General features: G+C 43.0%; 2 annotated features.

The window, feature by feature from the left end:
* Nucleotides 9,023–9,072: an enhancer, noted in NCBI's record as "active region_11721". NCBI's record gives its function as "activates an Ori minimal core promoter by ATAC-STARR-seq in GM12878 lymphoblastoid cells {active_cell/tissue: GM12878}" and the evidence as "EXISTENCE:reporter gene assay evidence [ECO:0000049][PMID:35858748]".
* Nucleotides 9,183–9,252: an enhancer, noted in NCBI's record as "active region_11720". NCBI's record gives its function as "activates an Ori minimal core promoter by ATAC-STARR-seq in GM12878 lymphoblastoid cells {active_cell/tissue: GM12878}" and the evidence as "EXISTENCE:reporter gene assay evidence [ECO:0000049][PMID:35858748]".

Here is a 22,436-nt window from a genome sequence, read left to right as displayed (position 1 = left end):
TCGGCCTCAGCCTCCCAAGTAGGTGGGACTACAGGCGCCTGCCACCATGCCCAGCTAATTTTTTGTATTTTTTTTTTTTTTTTTAGTAGAGATGGGGTTTCACCGTGTTAGCCAGGATGGTCTCGATCTCCTGACCTCATGATCCGCCCGCCTCAGCCTCCCAAAGTGCTGGGATTACAGGTGTGAGCCACCGCACCCAGCCTTGATTCTTTCTTTGTTGCCCAGGCGGTCTCAAACTCCTGGACTCAAGTGGTCCTCCTGCCTCAGCCTACCAAAATGTTGGGATTACAGGCATGAGCTGCTGCACCCAGCATCTTCTGGTTTTATGGTTAAAGAAATTTCTCCTAGGTTTTATAGAAGACTCTCTTTCTCTATCTCTCTTTTTATGCCATCTGGCTTTAATTTCCTTTCTTTCTTAAAAGAAAAAAAAATCTATAGGTTCTGTTACTGCCTCCTTTACTAAGTGTGACCTTGAGATAGTTTCTTATTCTCTTAACACGTTCGTTGCTTCTCCTATAAAATGAACAAATTGGACCACATGGTTGTTGTGGTACCATCCAGCTTCAATAGGCTGGGTGTTTATTTGCCTATGATTAAAAAGCAACAGCCCTGCCACAATGAAAAACCAATTCACAATGATTAGGATGGCTGTAATAAAAAAGACAGATAATAACAAGTGTTGGCGAGGATATAGAGAAATTGGAACCCTTATACCTCGTTGGTAAGAATGTAGACTGGTGCAGCCATTGGAAATACTCTGGCAGTTCCTCAAAGGTTAAATGTAAAGTTACATATTTACATATGACCCAGCAACTGCAATGCTAGGAATACATCCAAAAGAAATGAAAACACATGTCCACACAAAAACTTATACACAAATGTTCATAACAGAATTATTCACAATAGCCGTAAACTGGAAACAACCCAAATGTCCATCAACTAATGATTGGATAAATATAATGCAATATATCCATACGATGGAATATTATTCAGCCATTAAGAAGAATAAAGAATTGATACATGCTGCAAAGTGGATGAACCTTGAAAACATTATGCTAAGTGAAAGGAGCCAGTCAAAAAATACGACTGTGGGCCGGGTGCAGTGGCTCATGCCTGTAATCCCAGCACTTTGGGAGGCCGAGGTGGGTGGATCACGAGGTCAAGAGATCGAGACCATCCTGGTCAATATGGTTAAACCCCACCTCTACTAAAAAATACAAAGATTAGCTGGGCACGGTGGTGCGCGCCTGTAGTCCCAGCTACTCAGGAGGCTGGGGCAGGAGAATCTCTTCAACCTGGGAGGCGGAGGTTGCAGTGAGCCGAGATCACGCCATTGCACTGCAGCCTGGCGACACAGCGAGACTCCATCTCAAAAAAACATACAAACAAACAACAACAACAACAAAAAAAAATTGTATGGTTCCAGTTATAATGAAATGTCCAAAATAGGCAAATCCATAAAGACACAAAGTAGATTTGTGGTTGCCAGGGCTAGAGATAGGAGTTGGGGGTAACGGGGAATGAATTCTAATAGTAACCTGGTTTCCTTTAGGGGTGATAAAATTGATTACAGTGATGGTTGCAGAACTCTGTGAATATATTAAAAACAATTGAATTGTAAATTTTAAATGGATGAATTTTATGGTATATGAATATCTCAACACAGATGTTATATAAATAAAAATACTTATTGAACATTCAATACCTGTCAGGTCCTGGGGTAAATACTGGTGACACAGAAGTGAACAGGGAATGTGTACTTTTCCTTCACGAAGCTTGCAACATAATTAGGGATTCAGCCATTCTAGAGCCCTTCATTGCCAAAAGAATGAAACACCCTCCTCACACAGTAGGCACAAAGATTGCCATGGTCCATACAATGGCAAGACTCTTCTAGATCTTACCATGTCCTAATACTAGGTACTCTCTTTCTAGTCCTCCTCTTCTTCTTTTTTTTTTTTGAGATGGAGTTTCGCTCTTGTTGCCCAGGCTGGAGTGCAATGGAGCAATCTTGGCTCACTGAAATCTCTGCCTCCTGGGTTCAAGCGATTCATCTGCCTCAGCCTCCCGAGTAGCTAGGATTACAGGCATGCGCCACCACGCCCAGCTAATTTTGTATTTTTAGTAGAGACAGGGTTTCTCCATGTTGGTCAGGTTGGTCTCGAACTCCCGACCTCAGGTGATCCGCCCACCTTGGCCTCCCAAAGTGCTGGAATTACAGGTGTGAGCCACTGAGCACACCATCCTTTCTCTCTGTCTTTGTAACCCTACTGCCCTGAAAGAGATGGCTGAAGGCAGCCCTATGTTCACAGTACAGCCTTTGACTCTCAGAATAGTGTCTCCCAAGAGAGCAGCTACTTGCAAGTCCATAGCAGACTGATTAATTTTTTAATTGTATTATTATTTTTTGAGACAGGGTCTCACTCTGTTATCCAGGCTGGAGTGCAGTGCTGCAATCTCAGCTCACTGCAACTTCCATCTCAGGGCCCAAGTGATCCTCCCACCTCAGCCTCCAAAGTAGCTGGGACTACAGCTGTGTGCCACCATGCCCAGCTTATAGCAGGGTGATTAAAAGCAGCAACTGTGGAGCCAGTCCACTAGGCTTCAAATCCCAGCTCTGCCTCTCTACTCACTACTTGCCTCGGTTTCCTCATGGGCAAAAAGGAGATAACAGTGACTATATGTCATAAAGATTTTGTGAGTTCTGCAGGAGTTAATGCACTTATAGGCACCCTATAAGTGCATTAGCTGATAATATTCATGTTATTATTGCCTACCCATCTGCAAATGAAGGTGCCTCAACCCATCTCACCGATCTGCTACTTTCCCGTAGTCCACCAGGTGGCGCAGGCGCACCACCTCGGGCAACAAAAATGGCCCCCAGGTGGCTCGCACAGTAAATGCTGGGCTTGGAGAAACGATACAAATAGTTTGCTAGTGATGTGGGTCCATCTGTGAGTTATATATAACGATATCAACTATAATGGAACAAATTTTTTCTAATCAGCTCCACTCACTAAAAAAAGTTTTCTTCTATTTAGAGAAAATAGTGGATGTCTACAAATAAAGGGCATGGTTTGGGTAAAGCGTTAGCTCCATGTGGACTCATGTACTGCCATCCAACCAAGGCAGTGATGCACCTGTCTGAGTTTTTCCACAGCATCATCCTCTTTTTTTGTAACAAATATTCTATAACACACCCTTGGCTGGGCGCGGTGGCTCACGCCTGTAATCTCAGCACTTTGGGAGGCCGAGGCAGGCAGATCACTTCAGGTCAGGAGTTTGAGAACAGCCTGGCCAACTTGGTGAAACCCCAACTCTACTAAAAATACAAAAATTAGCCAGGCGTGGTGGCGGGCACCTGTAATCCCAGCTACTTGGGGGCTGAGGCAGGAGAATCGCCTGAACCCGGGAGACAGAGGTTGCAGTGAGCCAAGATTGCGCCACTGCACTCCAGCCTGGACGACAGGGCGAGACTCCATCTCAAAAAAATAAATAATTAAAAACAATAAAATATATAACACACCCCTTTATCATATTGCCTTCCAACATCCATAATTTCCTCCACTATATCAACACAATATGAAGAAGAAGAAGCCAAGTATAATAAAATAACATGGGCTGGGCACAGTGGCTCACACCTGTAATCCCGTCATTTTTGGGAGGCCGAGGCAGGTGGATTGCTTGAGGTCAGGAGTTCGAGATCAGCCTGGACAACATGGTGAAACCCTGTCCCTACTAAAAATACAAAAAATTAGCCGGATGTGGTGGCACACACCTATAGTCCTAGCTACTCAAGAGGCTGAGGCAGGAGAATCACTTGAACAAGGGAGGCAGAGGTTGCAGTGAGCCGAGATTGTGCCACTGCACTCCAGCCTGGGTGATAGAGTGAGGCTCCGTCTCAAAAATAAATAAATAAAATAAAATAACACACATTCCAATATGTAAATGCTTGGGCACAACTATGTTAGATGACATATTGAAGTAGTCAGCTGCTTGCACCTAGGTGTAGCATTACCAAGAACACCATAGTAACAAATGAGGTCTGATAGAGATGTGTTGCTCTGGTAATTCCAACACCTAGAGCACCTAGAGTGGCATTGCCCCAGGTAACGTGATTTTCCAAAGTAGGCAACAGCACTTGGTAAAGTTGCCTTCCTGGAAACTGCAGTGTATGTTAAAATTGTGAAAACCTAACCAAACCAAACCTTTGTGTACATAAACAAAATAAAGGTAGGCTCTGAGCACAGATTATATTTTATCTACATGAATATCCAGTGGGGTATCTAAAAGTTGTAGGGGAAGGCTGACAACCCTTTCCTGTGCACAATGGTTGCTTACATGCATTGACGACATATAGTACCTCTGGTCCCTGACAACTAAATGGTAGTAGTGACTGCCAATCACTATGACAGCCAAAGCCACGACCCCCCAAATCTCTAAATGAACAATAGCATCTCCATTGAGAACCACTAGTCCAGGGTCAAAATCCCTTTGGACATGTCTACCAAAGCTGGCACTTGGTCTGCTTGAGGCTAAACTTGTAAAATACATTTGATTTGTTCTAGCTGTCACAAATACACTTGCCAAGACTCAAAGGGGGCTATAGAGAGAGGGAGGCTGTGGGATGGGGCCTTTTCCTCTGAGTATCTCCCTTCGTATTAGCTTTTTGTCCAGAAAGCACAGACCCAAGGGAAGCTGGCCTCATGTGCCAATCTGAGGCACAACCCTGTGGTCTTTTTGAGGCTTTTCCTGAAACCCAGCTGGGAAGTAAATCAGTACAGACATAATCCTGATTTTAGCCACAGGGGCCAGGGCCTCTGACCAAACCCCTGGCTTAGGAGAATTTCCTGCTATACATTTGCTTGGCATGTCAATCTCAAACTATTCTTGCTCTGCCCTCTCAGGGATGGGGTTAGTGAGACCATGGCTCCTTGGGATGAGGTTTTGACGTTGGCATGTGCAGACTTGCTCACTGGGCTCCATTAATTATATTCACCTCCACCTGCTACAGGGCTTTTTCCGGTCCGTACATCTGGCCCTTCCTTTCTCTCTGCAGTTCTAGCACCTCCCTGCCCCCTTCAGCTTTCGGCTTGCTTGTCTCGAGAGGCAGGTATGACATGACCCAATCCCCTCGCTGGTATTCCTGGAATTCAGCTGGTTTAGCAAAGCAAGGATGAAGTCCCTCCTGAGCAGGGCAGCTGCATCTTTCCGTACACATTCCATCACTTCTGCCAATTGATGTCTCCAGGCCAGCTGGTCATCTACAACATGGATTTTGATCCTCAAGAATTCCCTCCCAGACTCCCTGGCCTGAAAAGGGCAGCTGAAGGGCCCAGAAGCCCTTCATCAGAAGCCCATCATCAAACAAAGGGGTCAGAAGCCTGTGACTTTGGATTTCTGCCATTAGACAAGAGTCCAGATGGCCTCTGACCCAGGCATCCATGCACCTGCAGCTGTAAACCTATGTGGTTTATCCAGTGCACAGACATTTATTGACCACCTTTGGTATGCCAGGCACTATGGACACAGCAGGAACCAGACAGACACAGTCCCTGCTCTCCTAAGGTTTACGGTCTACAGGGAAAGGCAGGCAGATGTTCAATAAACTGTAACACAAACAGCTGTGCAATTGCAACTATGATGAGCATTACAAGGAAGTGCAGGGGCCATGTGACAGAGTATAACAAAGGCTGGGTAGGCTAGGGGCCTGGGACGTGGGGGCATCGCTGAGGAAGTGACATTTAAGTTGAAACATGAGGGAAGAGAAGGTGTTACCCAGGTGAAGAGAGTGGGAAAGAGCCTTCCCAGCGCGGGGAACAGCAGAGGTGAAAACTCTAATCTGGAAGGCAGCTTGACATGATCAAGAAATCACAATAGTTGTCAGGTATTGATTGCTCCCTATATGCCCAGCCTGTTCTAAGAGCTTTCTTTACAAGTATAGTTTTTCTAATGGCCACCGTGCTAAGAAATAAGGAACTAGCATCCTCATTTTACAAATGAGGAAACTGAGGCACAGAGAGGTTAAGTAATTGCCCCCAAATCCCACAGCTATAAAATGAGGGAGCTACAAATTGAGGCACAGAGAGGTTACCATTGGATCCAGGTAGTCTGACTCCAGAGACGGTATCCTTAACCCCTATGTCAGAATCCCCTGTGAAGATAAAAAGTCATGATGTCATAGCAGCAATATGTATTGTTGGACATGTATAAAGTGGCTGATGAAACCACATTCATAGTAGAAGGGTATATTAACTACGTCTTCTTGTTTTCTGTATTCTTGATGCTTTGGGGTCTGGGGTTTGCTGATCCTGGAGGGACTGTCCCTTCCAGGGTTAGTTAATCCCTAGAGATGGCAAAGACTACGCTGTGAGCACACCTTTGATATGCAAACCAACCAATCCAGAGCCCACACCCAAACTCTCACGACTTGTCCTAGTCACCCCAGGGCCAAGTGTCAGACAACTAGAGAAATCCCCTATACCTTGGAGCCCGCCAAAATTACTCACACTTGCCAATCCTAAACCTTGCCTTGCCTGCCTTTCCCTCCGAAACCATAGTTAAGGCCCCTGCCCTGATTTCCTCTTGTTCCTTCTGCCTCTTGCCCAACCCTGGGCTCCCCCGTGTGGCCCTGTGTGGCATGGCATGTCCCTTCCACTCCGGAACTGTGAGTAGCAAACTCTTTTTTCAATGGTAGTTGTCTCCTGATCTGCTGTCCTCGGCATTACCTGAATAATAAGACAACCTACATTTTTTTTTTTTTTTTTTGAGACAGAGTCTTGGTCTTATTGCTGAGGCTGGAGTGCAATAGCAAGATCTCGGCTCACTGCAACCTCCACCTCCTGGGTTCAAGCAATTCTCCTGCCTCAGCCTTCCGAATGGCTGGGGTTACAGGCACCCACCACCACACGTGGCTAATTTTTTTGTATTTTTAGTGGAAACGGGGTTTCATCATGTTGGCCAAGCTGGTCTCAAACTCCTGACCTCAGGTGATCCACCCACCTCAGCCTCCCAAAGTGCTGGGATTACAGGCATGAGCTGCTGCACCCAGCCAACACAACCTATATTTTAAAACAAAGGGATCCTTGGATGTTTAGCTGAGGCTCAGGGAGGGGAAGCCCAGAAGTGGAATTAAACCCCAGGTCTCCAGGCTCTTGCCCTGATGCATGTTTTACTATGCTTCCCAGGAAGGTCATGAGGGAGGGACAGGGACAAGTTTGGGGTGAAAAGGAATAAACCTTGTTTTTTGAGACAGGGTTTCACTCTATCACTCAGGCTGGAATACAGTGGCTCAATCACAGCTCTCTGCGTCCTCCCCTTCCTGGACTCAGGCCATCCTCCCACCTCAGCCTTCCAAGTAGCTGGGCTAAATGTGTGTGCCACCACACCTGGCTTTTTTTTTTTTTTTTTTTGTAGCAATGAGGTCTTGCTATGTTGCCAAGGCTGGGAAATCAGACTCTTTCTTTAAAAAGGGAAAAAGAATCTGATTTGTAGGAGCAAACAGAGTCATGATGGGAGAAAGAAAGTGGAGTTGGTGTTTGGGTAAGTGGAGGCAAGGAGAGAAAGAATTTTATTCATTTTATCAATTTCATACCAATTATTAATAATAGCAAAATCTTACTTGGTACTTACTATGGGCCGGGTACTCTTCTAGGTGCTTTCTGTGTAGCATGTCATTTAACCCAAATAACAACCCTATAAGGTCAGGGCTATTATCTCCACTTGGGAGACGAGGAAACTGAGGCATGGATTCTAAATGACTCACCTAAAGTTAAACGGAACCTAAGTAAGTGGCAGGGTTGGGTTTTCTTTTCTTTGAGACAGAGTCTTGCTCTGTCACCCAGGCTGGAGTGCAGTGGCATGATCTCTGCTCACTGCAACCTCCGTCTCCTGGGTTCAAGCAATTCTCCTGCCTCAGCCTCCCGAGTAGCTGGGACTACCAGCTCATGCCACCACGCCTAGTTAATTTTTGTACTTTTTTTAGTAGGGATGGGATTTCAACATGTTGGCTGGGATGGTCTCAATCTCCTGACCTCGTGATCAAGGTCTCCCAAAGTGCCAGGATTACAGGTGTGAGCCACTGTGCCTGGTCGGGTCTGTCTGTCTTTCTCTTTTCTTTCTTTTGTTTCTCTTTCTTTCTTTCTTTCTTTCTTTCTTTCTTTCTTTCTTTCATTCTTTCTTTCTTTCATTCTTTCTTTCTCTTTCTTTCTTCTTTCTTTCTTTTCTTTTCTTTCTTTCTTTCTTTTTTCTTCCTCCTTTCCTTTCCTTTTTTTTTTGAGACGGAGTCTCACTCTGTCACCCAGGCTGGAGCTCACTGCAACCTCCACCTTCTGGGTTCAAGCAATTCTCCTGCCTCAGCCTCCCCAGTAGCTGAGATTACAAGCATGCGCCACCATGCCTGGCAAATTTTTGTATTTTTAGTAGAGATGGGGTTTCACCATGTTGGCCAGGCTGGTCTCAAACTCCTGGCCTCACGCAATCCACCCCACTGGACCTCCCAAAGTGCTGGGATTACAGGTGTGAGCCACCACGCCCGGCCTCAGGGGTGGGTTTTCTGATTCAAGTTGTCTGGAGTCTCCTTTGTCACTCTGTCACACTGCCCCTCGAGTGGTTTCAAAGCTGGCTCTCCTACCAGTGCAAGCACAAGGTGGGAATAGCAGACTCTTGCTGTTTTGCCTACAGAGGATGATGTAGCAATATCATCAAACTCTGCCCAGAAAGAAAGTTATTTCCACTCTCATCCTGAGAGGAATCAGGCAAGACATCTGTGAACGCTCGGCAGCTCTGACTACCACGGTGTCTCAGCCCAAGATTCAGGTAACTTGCAGACCATTATCCAATTCTGCTGGGCCCCCAATTATGGAGGGGAGAAAGGCTGGTGGCCCTCCTCAGGTTTCATCAGGACCTGCCTGGCTGCCCACCAACCACAGAAGGAAGCCGGGCAGGGCCTGAGGAGTCTGCTCAGAACCAGAGCCTGCAGTGTCTTGTGGGTTCTTGCTGGCCCCGATGGCCTAGAGTCAGGACTGTGGTTACTGCAAGGACCTAGGCTCAGGTGCTGTGAGTGGTACCCACTGGGCCGTACACCCCTCTGAGTGCTGGTGGTCAGAGGATTCACTGAGGAGGCCTCTGCATGAGTTATAGATGGTCACACCAAGAGTTGCACCTCCACTGTCAACAGGATGTGCTTGTGAGGGTTTGGAGGTGGCTGGGAGGCCAGGAGGAGATGTTCCAGGGCTGTGAGTTCTGAAGCCCGCCAGAGAAAAGGGCAAAGAGACTCAAGGAGTTCACCCTCTCTCCTCTGGAGGAGCAAACGCCTCTTCCTAAAATACCAGCACCCCCTAGTGGCAGTCGGTGTCCATTTACACCTCAGGGTTCTTAACCCGGAGTCCCTGAACTTTGAGAGGAAAAAGATATGCATCTAATTTTTCACTCATCTTCAACTGAAATTTAGCATTTCCATGAATAATCAATGTAGGCAACACATCACAGTAGTGTCAACAAACAGTACTTGTGATTTTGTCACCAATAAATTTACAGGTATTTTTTACATCACATTACAGCAGTTGGAGGTAACTCAAAATGTCATTTGCATCTGTCGCTATTTGGAAATTATGCCAGTTATTAGTTCCGCCACGAGATCGTGTTATTTAATGCATTAATAAAGAAGCACATTTATTACTAGATTTCCAATTTGATTTATTTATGTTAAAGCTGTAATATAATTGTTACGGTATAATTGGTTTCCTTTATAATCCTGCTTATTTTGTTTTACAGATTTAAAACATTAATCTGGCCGGGTGCGGTGGCTCACGCCTGTAATCCCAGCACTTTGGGAGGCCGAAGTGGGCGGATCACGAGGTCAGGAGGTCGAGACCATCCTGACTAACATGGTGAAACCCTGTCTCTACTAAAAATACAAAAAATTAGCCGGGGGTGGTGGCGGGCGCCTGTAGTCCCAGCTACTCGGGAGGCTGAGGCAGGAGAATGGCCTGAACCCGGGAGGCGGAGCTTGCAGTGAGCTGAGATCCCGCCACTGCACTCCAGCCTGAGCAAACAAAACAAAACAAAAAAAATAAAACATTATCCTGAAATGAGGTCCATGGGCTTTACTGGGCTGCCAAAGGGGTCCATGACTTAAAAATGGTGAAAGACCCTGCCTCAGAAGGAGCAGGTTTAATCAAATCTTCTTCTGCCACCAAGGCAGGCTCTGCAGTTGTGGGATTCAGAACAGCCCAGAACCAAGGAAAGTTGGGCTGGGGATGGGTGACAACGACAATGTTTTACCTTAGACTGATTATCTGTTGACCCAGTGGTTTGAATTGAGAGGCATCCTTATTCAGAACCCCTAAATCCTGCTGATGTTGGTGCACTGGGGAGGCAGCGGGACTTCTCCCAACGGGCAACAAATGTTGTCAGTGAGTTTGCCTTTTGAAAAAAATGGTAAAATACTATGGTGAGCCAGGGTGGAGTCTACTAGAACTAGGCAGTATCACCTTCAGGAAACAAAATGGTTTCTAGGTCAAAGAGGCGTATAACATTGTGTATGTTGATATAAAGAAAAAAGATGCCTACTTTTTTTTTTTTTTTTTTTTTTTTTTTTGAGATGGAGTCTCGCTCTGTCACCCAGGCTGGAGTGCAGTGGTGAAATCTTGGCTCACCGCAACTTCAGTCTCCTGGGTTCAAGCGATTCTCCTGCCTCAGCCTCCCCAGTAGCTGGAACTATAGGCTCGTGCCACCATGCCCAGCTAATTTTTTGTATTTTTAGTGGAGACGGGGCTTCACCGTGTCAGCCAGGCTGGTCTCCATCTCCTGACCTCATGATCCGCCTGCCTCAGCTTCCCAAAGTGCTGGGATTACAGGCGTGAGCCACCGCGTCTGGCCAAAAGATGCCTACTTTTAAAGAACATTAAAAATTCTTTTTACTGTAGACTGCAAATACATTTAGAAAGGGCACATAGCATGCATGTATGGTTTAATAAATAATTATAAAATTTGGAATGACCACCAGGAAATAAAATGCCACTCCCTCTCCCAACAAGCCTGCCATGGACTTCTCCCTGATCATAATGCTACCCCTTTCCAAGAGACTGCCACTCTCTGAACTTCTGTGGTTTCAACTTGTAGATTACTAATGAGATTGTGCATCTTTTTATAAGTTGATTGGCTATGAATTTTTTTTCTGTGAAATGCAAGTTTATGTCTTTTGCCTATTTTCTACTCAGATGTTTTCTTTAACTTATTGATTTATAAGAGTATCTTATCTATTTGGGGTGTTAAATGTCAGTTATATGTGTTGGAAACATATTCTCCAAGTTTAGGGTTTGTGGTTTTTTTGTGTGTGTGTGTTTTTTTTTTGAGATGGAGTCTTGGTCTGTTGCCCAGGCTGGAGTGCAGTGGCGTGATCTCGGCTCACTGCAAGCTCCACCTCCCGGGTTCACGCCATTCTCCTGCCTCAGCCTCCCGAGTAGCTGGGACTATAGGCGCCCACCACCACGCCTGGCTAATTTTTTTGTATTTTTAGTAGAGACAGGGTTTCACCGTGTTAGCCAGGATGGTCTTGATCTCCTGACCTCGTGATCCGCCCGCCTCGGCCTCCCAAGGTGCTGGGATTACAGGCGTGAGCCACCGTGCCCGGCCCTATGGGGTTTGTGTTTTTACATTTTGTTGTCGTTGGTGTTGTTGCCCAGGCTGGAGTGCAATGGCATGATCTTGGCTCACTGTAACCTCCGCCTCCCGAGTTCAAGTGATTCTCCTACCTCAGCCTCCCAAGTAGCTGGGATTACAGGCATGTACCACCATGCCCGGGTAACTTTGCATTTTTAGTAGAGAAAAGGTTTCTCCATGTTGGTCAGGCTGGTCTTGAACTCCTGACCTCAGGTGATCTGCCCACCTCAGCCTCCCAAAGTGCTGGGATTACCAGCGTGAGCCACCGCACCCGGCCTTTTCATCTGTATTTTCTTTTCAATGTTTTAAAGTTTTGTTTTTCACATTTAAGTATTTAATCCATCTGAGGAACTTCTGCTTTAAAGTAGAATGCAAGAAACTAGTGATAAGTTTCTGTTGTAACAGCTTGAAACACTAGATAAATTATAATAATTGTATTAGTCTGTTCTCACACTGCTAATAAAGACATAACTGAGACTGGGTAATTTATAAAGGAAAGAGGTTTAATGGACTCACAGTTCCACATGGCTGAGGAGGCCTCACAATCATGGCAGGAGGCAAAGGAGGAGCAAAGTCACATCTTACATGGATAGTGGCAGGCAAGAAAAGAGAATTTGTGCAGGGAAACTCCCCTTTATAAAACCATCAGATCTCATGAGACTTATTCACTATCATAAGAGCAGCATGAGAAAGACCTGCCCCCATGATTCATTATCTCCAACTGGGTCCCTCCCACAACACATGAGAATTATGGGAGCTACAATTCAAGATGAGATTTTGGTGGGGACACAGCCAAACCATATCAATAATCATATTTTTAAATGCATCAATGATCTGGGAAAGCAAATAAAATTAGATTAACTAAAAAAAGGAAGAATGTTGCTTAGGTGAGCCAAGATCAACAGCCTCTTTGGTCCAAAGGACATTTGCTGAATCTAAGCACAAAGTTAGGGTCAGGATTGCCATAGGGAGAGGTTTCTAATAGGGGAATGAAAAATCAGCAAAGTCAGATTTTTCTGACTTTCTCAAATCCGAAACATATTTGGACAGACATTTCACCAAAGAGTATCTACAATGGCAAATAAGCACATGAAAAGATGTTCGGTACCATTAGTCACTGGGGAAATGCAAAGTAAATCCACATTAAGTACCAATAGCAAATGTTAGTGAGAAGGTGGAACACTTGGAACCCAGACCTATTGGTAAGAATGTAAAACAATACAACTGGCTTGGAAAACAGTTTGGCAGTTTCTTAAAGTGTTAAACATACATCTACCACATAATCAGCCATTTTTCTTGTAGATATTCGCCAAAGGAAGATGAAAGCATGTGTTCATGCCAAGACTTATATATGAATATTCATAGCAGATTTATTTGTAATAGACAAAAACTGAAAAAAAAAACAACTAAATGTCCATCAAAGGTAAATAGATAAATTAGGGTAAATCTATACAACAAAATATTATTTAGCAATAAAAAGGATGGAGTTATTTTATTTTATTTTGGAGAGGGTCTCGCCCTGTTGCCTAGGCTGGAGTGCAGTGGGGTGATCATGGCTCACTGCAGCCTCCACCTCCTCAGCTGGCTCAAGTGATCCTCCTGCCTCAGCCTCCTGAGTAGCTGGGACTATAGGTGCACACCACCACACCCAGCTAATTTTTAATTTTTTTTTGTAGAGGCAAGGTCTTACTATGTTGCCTAGGTTGGTCTTGAACTCCTGGGCTAAAGCCATCCTCCTGCCTCAGACTCCCAAACTGTTGGGATTACAGGCTTGGTCCGCCACACCCAGCCAGGATGGACTTTTGACACATTCAACAGCATGGTGAATCTCAAAACAATTAAGATGAATGAAGGCATCTAGACAAAGAAGAGTACATACTATATGATTCCATTTATTTAAAATTCTAAAATTCTAGAAAATGAAAACTAATCTATAGTAACAGAAAGCAGGTCAGTGGTTGCCTAGAGGCAGTGGATGGATGGGAGGAAGGGACTAGAAAGGGCCACAAGAAACCTTCTGGGAGTAAAGGACGTTCATTATCTTGATTGTGGAGATGTATTTTCATGGGTCTATATGTATGGCCAAAGTTCTCAAATTGCACTGTTTACATATGTGCACTTTATTGTATATCAATTATATCTCGATAAAGCTGTAAAAAAATTTTTAATCCTACAAAGAAAACTCTAGGCCCAGATGATGTTACAGATAAATTATTTCAAACATCTAAGGAAGAAACAGTACTAATATTACATAAACTCTTTAATAGCATAGAGGAAGAGGAAACACTTTAAAAAATAATAATAATAATGGAGATAGGCTCTTGCTATGTTGGCCAGGCTGGTCTTGAACTCCTGGGCTCAAACCATACTCCCACCTTGGCCTCCCAAAGTGCTGGGATTACAGGTGTGAGCCACTATGCCCAGCTGGAAACACATTCTAAGTCTTTTTGTGAGGCTAGTATAACTGGATACTAGAACCTGACAAAGACGTTACAGAAAGAGAGAATAACAGGACAAATTCTGTCATGAATATAGATGCAAAGTTCTAAACAAAATGTTAACAAATTCAACCCACAGTGTACAAGTAAGATAATGCATATGACAAAGTGGAGTATTTTCTAGGATTGGAAAATTGGTTTAATATTAAAAGATCAACCAATGAAATTCACCATGAAACAATACAAAGGATAAAAAGACATATGATCATCTCAATAGATGCAGAAAAAGCACTGGATAAAATTCAACACTTGTTCAGAATAAAAATTCATCAAACTAGAAAATTTCCGTTAGCTGATAAAGTGTAATTCATATGGAACTAATTTTGTGTTATGTACAAGATAGAAAGGATTCTATTTTATTTTTGTATATGAATTATCAACTATGCCAGCAACATGTATTGAAAGGGCTCCCCCTTTCTCCTCTGACCTGTAATGCCATCTAGGTCTTAAATCATACTTCCACATATGTGCAGATCTATTTCCACTGACCTGCCTATACCTGCACCAGTACCACCCAGTCATAGCTTTAGGACGCATTTTGATCCTTCATAAGGAAAAACCACACCACCACCTCTGCCCACCCACTTCCTTTTTTTTGAGACAGGGTCTCACTCTGTTGCCCAGGCTGGAGTTCAGTGGTGCAATCTTGGCTCACTGCAGCCTCAACCTCCTACCTCAGCCTTCCGAGTAGCTGGGACTACAGGCGTGAGCCACTGTGCCTGGCCACACTTCTTCCTAGGAGTATCTTGTATATTCTCAGTCCCTTGCTCTTCCATATACAGTACTGAAACACCTGAGCAAATTCCACTTACAACTTTGTTGGGATTTTTTCTTGGGGTTGGTCGCATCAGATTTGGTGAGACTTCATTCTTATACTTTGCTATGAGACATGTTTTTCTTTTAACGTGTTTATAAAGACTGATTTAGTCTTTATTTAGTATGTCCAACATCTGGCTTCCTCTGAGACAATTTCTATTGACTTTTATTTCCTGTGTGTGGGATATACTGTTTCTTTGAGTGCCTCATAATTTGTAGTTGAAAACAGGACATTTTACATTTGGAAATCAGATTCACACCCCCTTCCCAGCGTTTGTTGTTGCTGCTGTTTGTTGATATTGTTGTTGCTGCTACTGTTTAGTTTGTTTAGTGGCTTTCCTGTACTAATTCTATGAAGTCTGTATTATTTGTTTTGTGTGGCCAAGGAAGTCTGTGCTCCTTTAGCTTAGTGGTCAGCTAATGTTTAAATAGAGGTTCTTTAAATGCCCAAACCAATTGATCTCCCTGCACTTTGCCAGGGAACTGTGCGTGTGTGTTGACAAACACTCTGATTGCCCTAGTTAGTTTACATCTCTGCCTTAACTTTCACTTCCTGCTTGAGCACATGCCGAAGGTCAGCTTGAGGTGAGAGACTGGGGCCTTGTCAGGTCTTTCACGGGCATGAACATGTGCCTACTCTTCTAGATCTCCAGGACTATGTCAGAGCTTTCCAAAGCCCCCTAGCTCATTTCCCAGATTTTGCCAGAGGCAGCTGCACTGTTAAACAATTGCTGTTGATTGCTTTCAACAAATACTCCAGTAGTAGGGCAAGCTCTGAGTCAGGTCAAATAAAAACATCTGTGAATGGGGCTTTTCCAGGGAATTGCCAGCGCAGTCAAATAGTGACAGTTCTCTGGGATGGGACCTTTGGGGGTGCCCCAAAACCACCTGCCTCCTCCAGTGGCTGCAACATTGCTGCTTTGCACAGCTACCATGGTTGTAAGATTTTCAAGTCTACCTCAGAGCTGGGGAGAGGGAGATGAGAACAGGGGAAGTTAAAAATGCTGCAGAACTCACTGTTCTTACTGAGAGTCAGCATTTTTTCTTGAATAAATGCTCCTGAGATTGTTGCAAGTTTTTGGTTAATTTACAGAGTTCTAAAAAGGTTTTTATTTTATTTATTTTTTATTTTTTTTGCCAGTGTTCTCACTGCTTTTATGGAGGAATGAATTTTGGGGGGTCTCCACTCTGCCGTTTTGGAAGTGCTTCTCCAGGATTGCATTGAATCTTATAGGTCAGTTTGAAGAGAGTTGATATTTTTATAATACATTTTGTCCATAAAATGGGATAACTTGCCAATTATTTCTATGTTTTTCAGTGAAGTTTTACAGTATTCTGTATATTGTCTTGTAAATGTTTTATGTTTACTGTCCTAGCTTATGTTGCAACAATTATCTTGTAATTTAAAAAAATATGTATTTTGTTAGTTGCTGGTGTACAGCAACGGAATCCATTTTTTTGTACAGTGATTCTAGAGCCAGTTATCTTAACTGCCAATCTTATTTCTAATAATTTCTTTCTTTCTTTTGCTCGCTCACTCTTCTTTCTTCTTTCTTTCTTTCTCTCTCTGTCTCTCTCCCTCCCCCTTTCCTTTCCTTTCCTTTCCTTTCCTTTCCTTTCCTTTCCTTTCCTTTCCTTTCCTTTCCTTTTTCCTTTCCTTTCCTTTCCTTTCCTTCTAGATGGAGTTTTGCTCTTGTTGCCCAGGCTGGAGTTCAATGGCGCAGTCTCAGCTCACTGCAATCTCCACCTCCCAGGTTCAAGCGATTCTCCTGCCTAAGCCTTCGTAGTAGCTGGGATTACAGGCATCAGCCACCACACCTAGCTAATTTTTGTATTTTTAGTAGAGACGGGGTTTCACCATGTTGGCCAGGCTGGTCTCAAACTCCTGACCTCAGACAATCCACCTGCCTCAGCCTCCCAAGGTGCTAGGATTTCAGGCATGAGCCATCGTGCTTGGCCTATTTTTAATAATTTCTTTGTGTCTTCTTTTCAGTTTTCTGTATAGACAAGCATATACTCTTTGAATAATGGCCTTTTCTTCTTCCTTTACAATGTTTTTAAATTGTGTTGTTATCTTAATATTCTGGCTGGGGTATCTGATATAATGGTGAATAGAAGTGGTAACAAGGCACATCCTTGTCTTGTGCCTGATCTTTTTTTTTTTGAATCCATATGTGTTTATTTAAAATTAACTGCTCTTGGAAACACCCTGCTCTTCACATGCTTTTTCAAAAATACCTTTGTTGAGAAAAAAGTTACATCCCAAACAAATCACTCATTTAAAGTGGTTTTTAGGATATTCAGAGTTGTGCAACCATCACCCCAATCAGCATTTTCATCACCCCAAAAACAAACCCCATGCCCATTAGCAGTCACTTAACTATTTCTTTCCAACCATCCCTAAGCAGCCACCAGTTGACTTTCTGTCTTTATGAATTTGACTGTTCCAAACATTTCATACAAATGCAATCACACAATACAGGGGTGATTTGCAACTGGCTTGTTTCACTTAGAATAAAGTTTACAAGGTTCATCTATGTTGTAGCTTATGCCTGATATTAAAAAGGATGCTTCGGCCGAGCGTGGTGGCTCATGCCTGTAATCCCTACACTTTGGGAGGCCGAGGTGGGCCGATCACGAAGTCAGGAGATGGAGACCATCCTGGCTAACATGGTGAAACCCCATCTCTACTAAAAATGCAAAAAATTAGCCGGGCGTGGTGGCACGTGCCTGTAATCCCAGCTACTCGGGAAGCTGAGGCAGGAGAATCGCTTGAACCTGGGAGGTGAGGTTGCAATGAGCCGAGATCTCGCCATTGCAACCCAACCTGGGGGACAGAGCGAGACTGTCTCAAAATAAATAAATAAACGAATAAATAGGATTCTTCCTAGTATTTCTTTGTTAAAATTAAGTGTTTATTATAGGCATTTACTAAATACTCTATTTCAGGTTAGGGAAATTCTATTCTTAGTTTTCTAAGAGATTTCCCCCCCGCCCCCAAACACTGATAATTTTATGAAATGCCTTTTAAGCGTCCTGTCGGACTCTTACACGGTTAATATGATGAATGACACCATAGAATTTTCTGCTGCCAAATTACCCTTGCATTCCTGGGTTAAACCCAAGTGGTCATAATGTATAATCATTTTTGGTTTCCTATCTTTGTATCTAGCGTCACAAATAAAATCGGCCTGTAATTTTTATTTCTTCTATCTTTATCTAGTTTGGATATCAAGGTTATGGTGCCCTCATAAAATGAGTTGGGGACTATTCTTTCTTCTTCAGTCATCTGAAAGGGTTTGTACATAATTGGAATGAGCTGGTTTTGTTATTTTTTTTCCAGGAAAAAAATGGCCATTTCATCTAAGTTTTAAAATTTATGAGCCTAATATTATTCACAGTATTATATGTTATTTTCATAATCTCTACTGCATCTGTAGTTATGTCTCTTTTTTGACCCTAATATTATTTACTTGTACTTTCTATTTCTTATCTATCTTGCCAGATATGTGTTTATGTTGTCAAATAACCATTTTTTGGCTTCATTTGGTTCTGACAAATATTTATTATTTCATTAATCATGGCTCTTATTTTTATTATCTCCTTTTTTTAGGAGGTAGGGACTAATCTATTGCCCTTTTTTTTTTCTTTTTTGAGACAGTCTTGCTCTGTCACCCAGGCTGGAGTGCAGTGGTGCAATCTCCGCTCACTGCAACCTCCACCTCCCAGATTCAAGCAATTCTCCTGCCTCAGCCTTCTGAGTAGCTGAGGTTATAGGTGCCCACTACCACACCCAGCTAATTTTTTGTATTTTTAGTAGAGACGGGGTTTCACCATTTCGGCCAGGCTGGCCTCAAACTCCTGACCTCAGGTGATCCACCCGCCTCGGCCTCCCAAAGTGCTGAGATTACAGGTGTGAACCACCGTGCCCAGCCCCTATTGTCCTTTTTCTAACTTCTTAGACAGTTTATTAATTTTCAGCCTTCTTTTCTCAGATTAGCATTTAAGAGGCCACAAATTTCCTTCTATGTATGGCTTTTACTTGTGTCCCACGAGTTTTGATATGTAATATTTTCATCGTCATTCAGTTCTAAGTATTTATTTAACTTATTTTTAGGGATAGGGTCTTGCTATGTTGCCCAGGCTGGAGTACAGTGGCTATTCAGAGGTACCAACATATAGTGCACTACAGCCTTAAACTCCTGGGCTCAAGCAATCCTCCCGCCTCAGCCTCCAGAGTAGCTGGGACTACAGGCATGCACCAATGTGCCCAGCTTCAGTTCTAAGTATTTTTAAAATGTTTCCAGTGTGATTATTTTTCTTTGACCTAGAGGCAATTTAGAAGTGTCCAGTTTTATCATTTAAAACTATTTTTGTTATGGCACTGTGGTCAGAGAATGTGGTCCGCATGACATCAGTTCTCTGAAATTTGTTGAGACTTGATTTGTGGCCTTGCCCGTGATTTATTTCAGTAACTGTTCCAGCTGGGCTTGAGAAGAATATGACTGTTTCTCAATAATTGGGTGTAGGGTTATATATATGATTATCAAATCCAGTTTAATTGTTTTTGATGAAATCTTTTGTTTGTTTGTTTGTTTTGTTTTGAGACAGATTCTCACTGTGTCACCCAGGCTGGAGTACAGTGGCCTGATCTTGGCTCACTGAAACCTCTACCTCCTGGATTCAAGTGATTCTCGTGCCTCAGCCTCCAAAGTAGCTGGGATTACAGGCATGCACCTCCATGCCTGGCTAATTTTTGTATTTGTTAGTAGAGACGAGGTTTCACCATGTTGGCCAGGCTTTTCTCGTGGACACAAGTGATCCACCCACCTTGGCCTCCCAAAGTGCTGAGATTACAGGTGTGAGCCACTGCCCCTGGCCTCTTTTGAGGCATTAATATTTCACAGAGGCTTGTCAAAACCTCACAATGATGATTAATTTCTCAATTTCTCCATGTGGTTCTATTAATTCTTGCTTTATGTAATATTTAGATTTTTAAAATTAGTTTTGTATAAGTTTAAATTTGTTTTATCTGTTGATGAGTTAAAACTGTATCACTATATCATATCTCTACTTCTAATAATACTTGTCTATTTTAATCTGAAATTGACACAGCTAACCACCTTTATTTTAGTTAGTTTTCGCTTGGTATTTCTTTTGCCATCCTTTGGCTTTCAGCACTTTTGTGTCTTCATACCTTAGAAATACCTCTTAGAAACTGCAACTGGCCGGGTGCAGTGGCTCACGCCTGTAATCCCAGCACTTTGGGAGGCAGAGGCGGGCAGATCACTTGAGGTCAGAAGTTCGAGACCAGCCTGGCCAACATGGCGAAACCCCGTCTCTACTAAAAATACAAAAAAAGTAGCCGGGTGTGGTGGCAGGCACCTGTGATCTCAGCTACTCGGGAGGCTGAGGCAGGAGAACCGCTTGAACCCGAGAGGCGGAGGTTGTGGTGAGCTGAGATGGCACCACTGTACTCCAGCCTGGGCGACAGTAAGACTCTATCTCAAAAAAAAAAAAAAAAAAAAAAAAGAAAAGGGAAAAAAAGAGAAAGAAAGAAAGAAACGCAACTAATTGTGTTTTGTACGTTTTCTTCAATCTAACAATCTCTGACTGTTAATGGGTCACTTTATTTCATTATGATTATTGATATATTTTGGCTAGTTCCCAGACTTTTGGCTTCATTTCTATTTGCCCCACTTTTTCTGTTTCTTTTTTCCTCCTTTCTTTCTGTTTTTTTGTAGTATATGTGTATGTGTGTGTATTAGCTTGTTTTTTTTGTTTTGTTTTTGTATGTTTGCTCATTAGGGGAATTTCATTTTCTTGGTTTTCAGTTTGGTTTTGCATTTAACTTTTTAAAATTTTTTTACCATTGCAGTGAGCTGAGATCGCGCCATTGCACTTCAGCCTGAGCAACAGAGCGAGACTCCATCTCAAAAAAAAAAAGAAAAAAAAAAAGATTTGAAGTAGAAAACACACTTATTTTTTCCCCAATGATTAGTTAGTTGCCCCTAATGGTCAGTTGTCCTAACCCATTATTGAGTAATTGATCCTATCTTCTTTAATCTATGTTAAATTCATTCAGATATTTGTGTTTGTTTCTGACAGATCAATTTAGTCCCATTGATCTGTTACACTTCCTCCATCAGCACCACAACCCTGTAACTCTGTGGCTTTACAGAACATCTCCATATCTCAGATGGAAAGTCCTCCCTCATCACTCAACCTTTGAAAAAGTTTCTTGGTTAAATTCACACAATTATTTTTTATGATGAAATATAAAATCATTTTGTCAATCTCCTTCCTTACCCCCAACCCCCCTAAAAGCCTTATTTGGCTTTGGTTGAAACTATATTACATTTTTAAACTCAACTGGGGGAAAATGGACATCTTTTACAATATGATTATATTTTCCAATCCAGATATATGAGATATCTTACCATTTATGCAAGACTTCTTTTGTGTCCCATAGTACAATTGATAAATTTTTAATAACAATGTTATTGAGATATAATTCACATACCCTGTAATTCACCCATTTAAAGTGCACAGTTCAATGGATTTTAGTATGTTTAGTCATGCAACCATCATCACAGTCAACTTTTGAATATTTTATTTCCCCCACATAAATCCCATCCCCATTAGCATTCACTCCCCATTTTCTCCCTACCACCCCAGTCTTTGGCAACACTAATCTACTCTCTGTTTCTATGGTATTGCCTACTCTGAACATTTCTTTTGCTTTTGCTTTTTTTTTTGTTTGTTTTTTTTTTGTTTTTTTTTTTGAGACAGAGTCTTGCTCTGTTGCCCAGGCTGGAGTGCAGTGGCGTGATCTCGGCTCACTGCAACCTCTGCCTCCCAGGTTCAAGCAATTCTCCTGCCTCAGCCTCCTGAGTAGCTGGGATTACGGGCATGCGCCACCATGCCTAATTTTCTTTGTTGTATTTTCAGTAGAGATGGGGTTCACCACGTTGATCAGGCTGGTCTCGAACTCCTGACCTCATGATCCACCCACCTCGGTCTCCCAAAGTGCTGGAATTACAGGTGTGAACCACCGCGCCTGGCCTGAACATTTCATATAAATAAAATCATATAATATGTGGTTCTTTGTAATTGGCTTCTTTCACTTAGCATAGTTTTTTTTTTTTTTTTTTGAGATGGAGTCTCACTCTGTTGCCCAGGCTGGAGTGCACTGGTGCGATCTCAGCTCACTGCAAGCTCCACCTCCTGGGTTCACTCCATTCTCCTGCCTCAGCCTCCCGAGTAGCTGGGACCACAGGCGCCCACCACCACGCCCGGCTAATTTTTTGTATTTTTAGTAGAGACGGGATTTCACCGTGTTAGCCAGGATGGTCTTGATCTCCTGACCTCATGATCCACCTGCCTCAGCCTCCCAAAGTGCTGGGATTACAGGCATGAGCCACCGCACCCGGCCCACTTAGCATACTATTTTTAAGG

This window comes from Homo sapiens, chromosome 17 (assembly GCF_000001405.40).
Source record: "Homo sapiens chromosome 17, GRCh38.p14 Primary Assembly".
Taxonomy (NCBI): Eukaryota; Metazoa; Chordata; class Mammalia; order Primates; family Hominidae; genus Homo; species Homo sapiens.
This window is presented reverse-complemented; position numbering and strand designations above follow the sequence as displayed.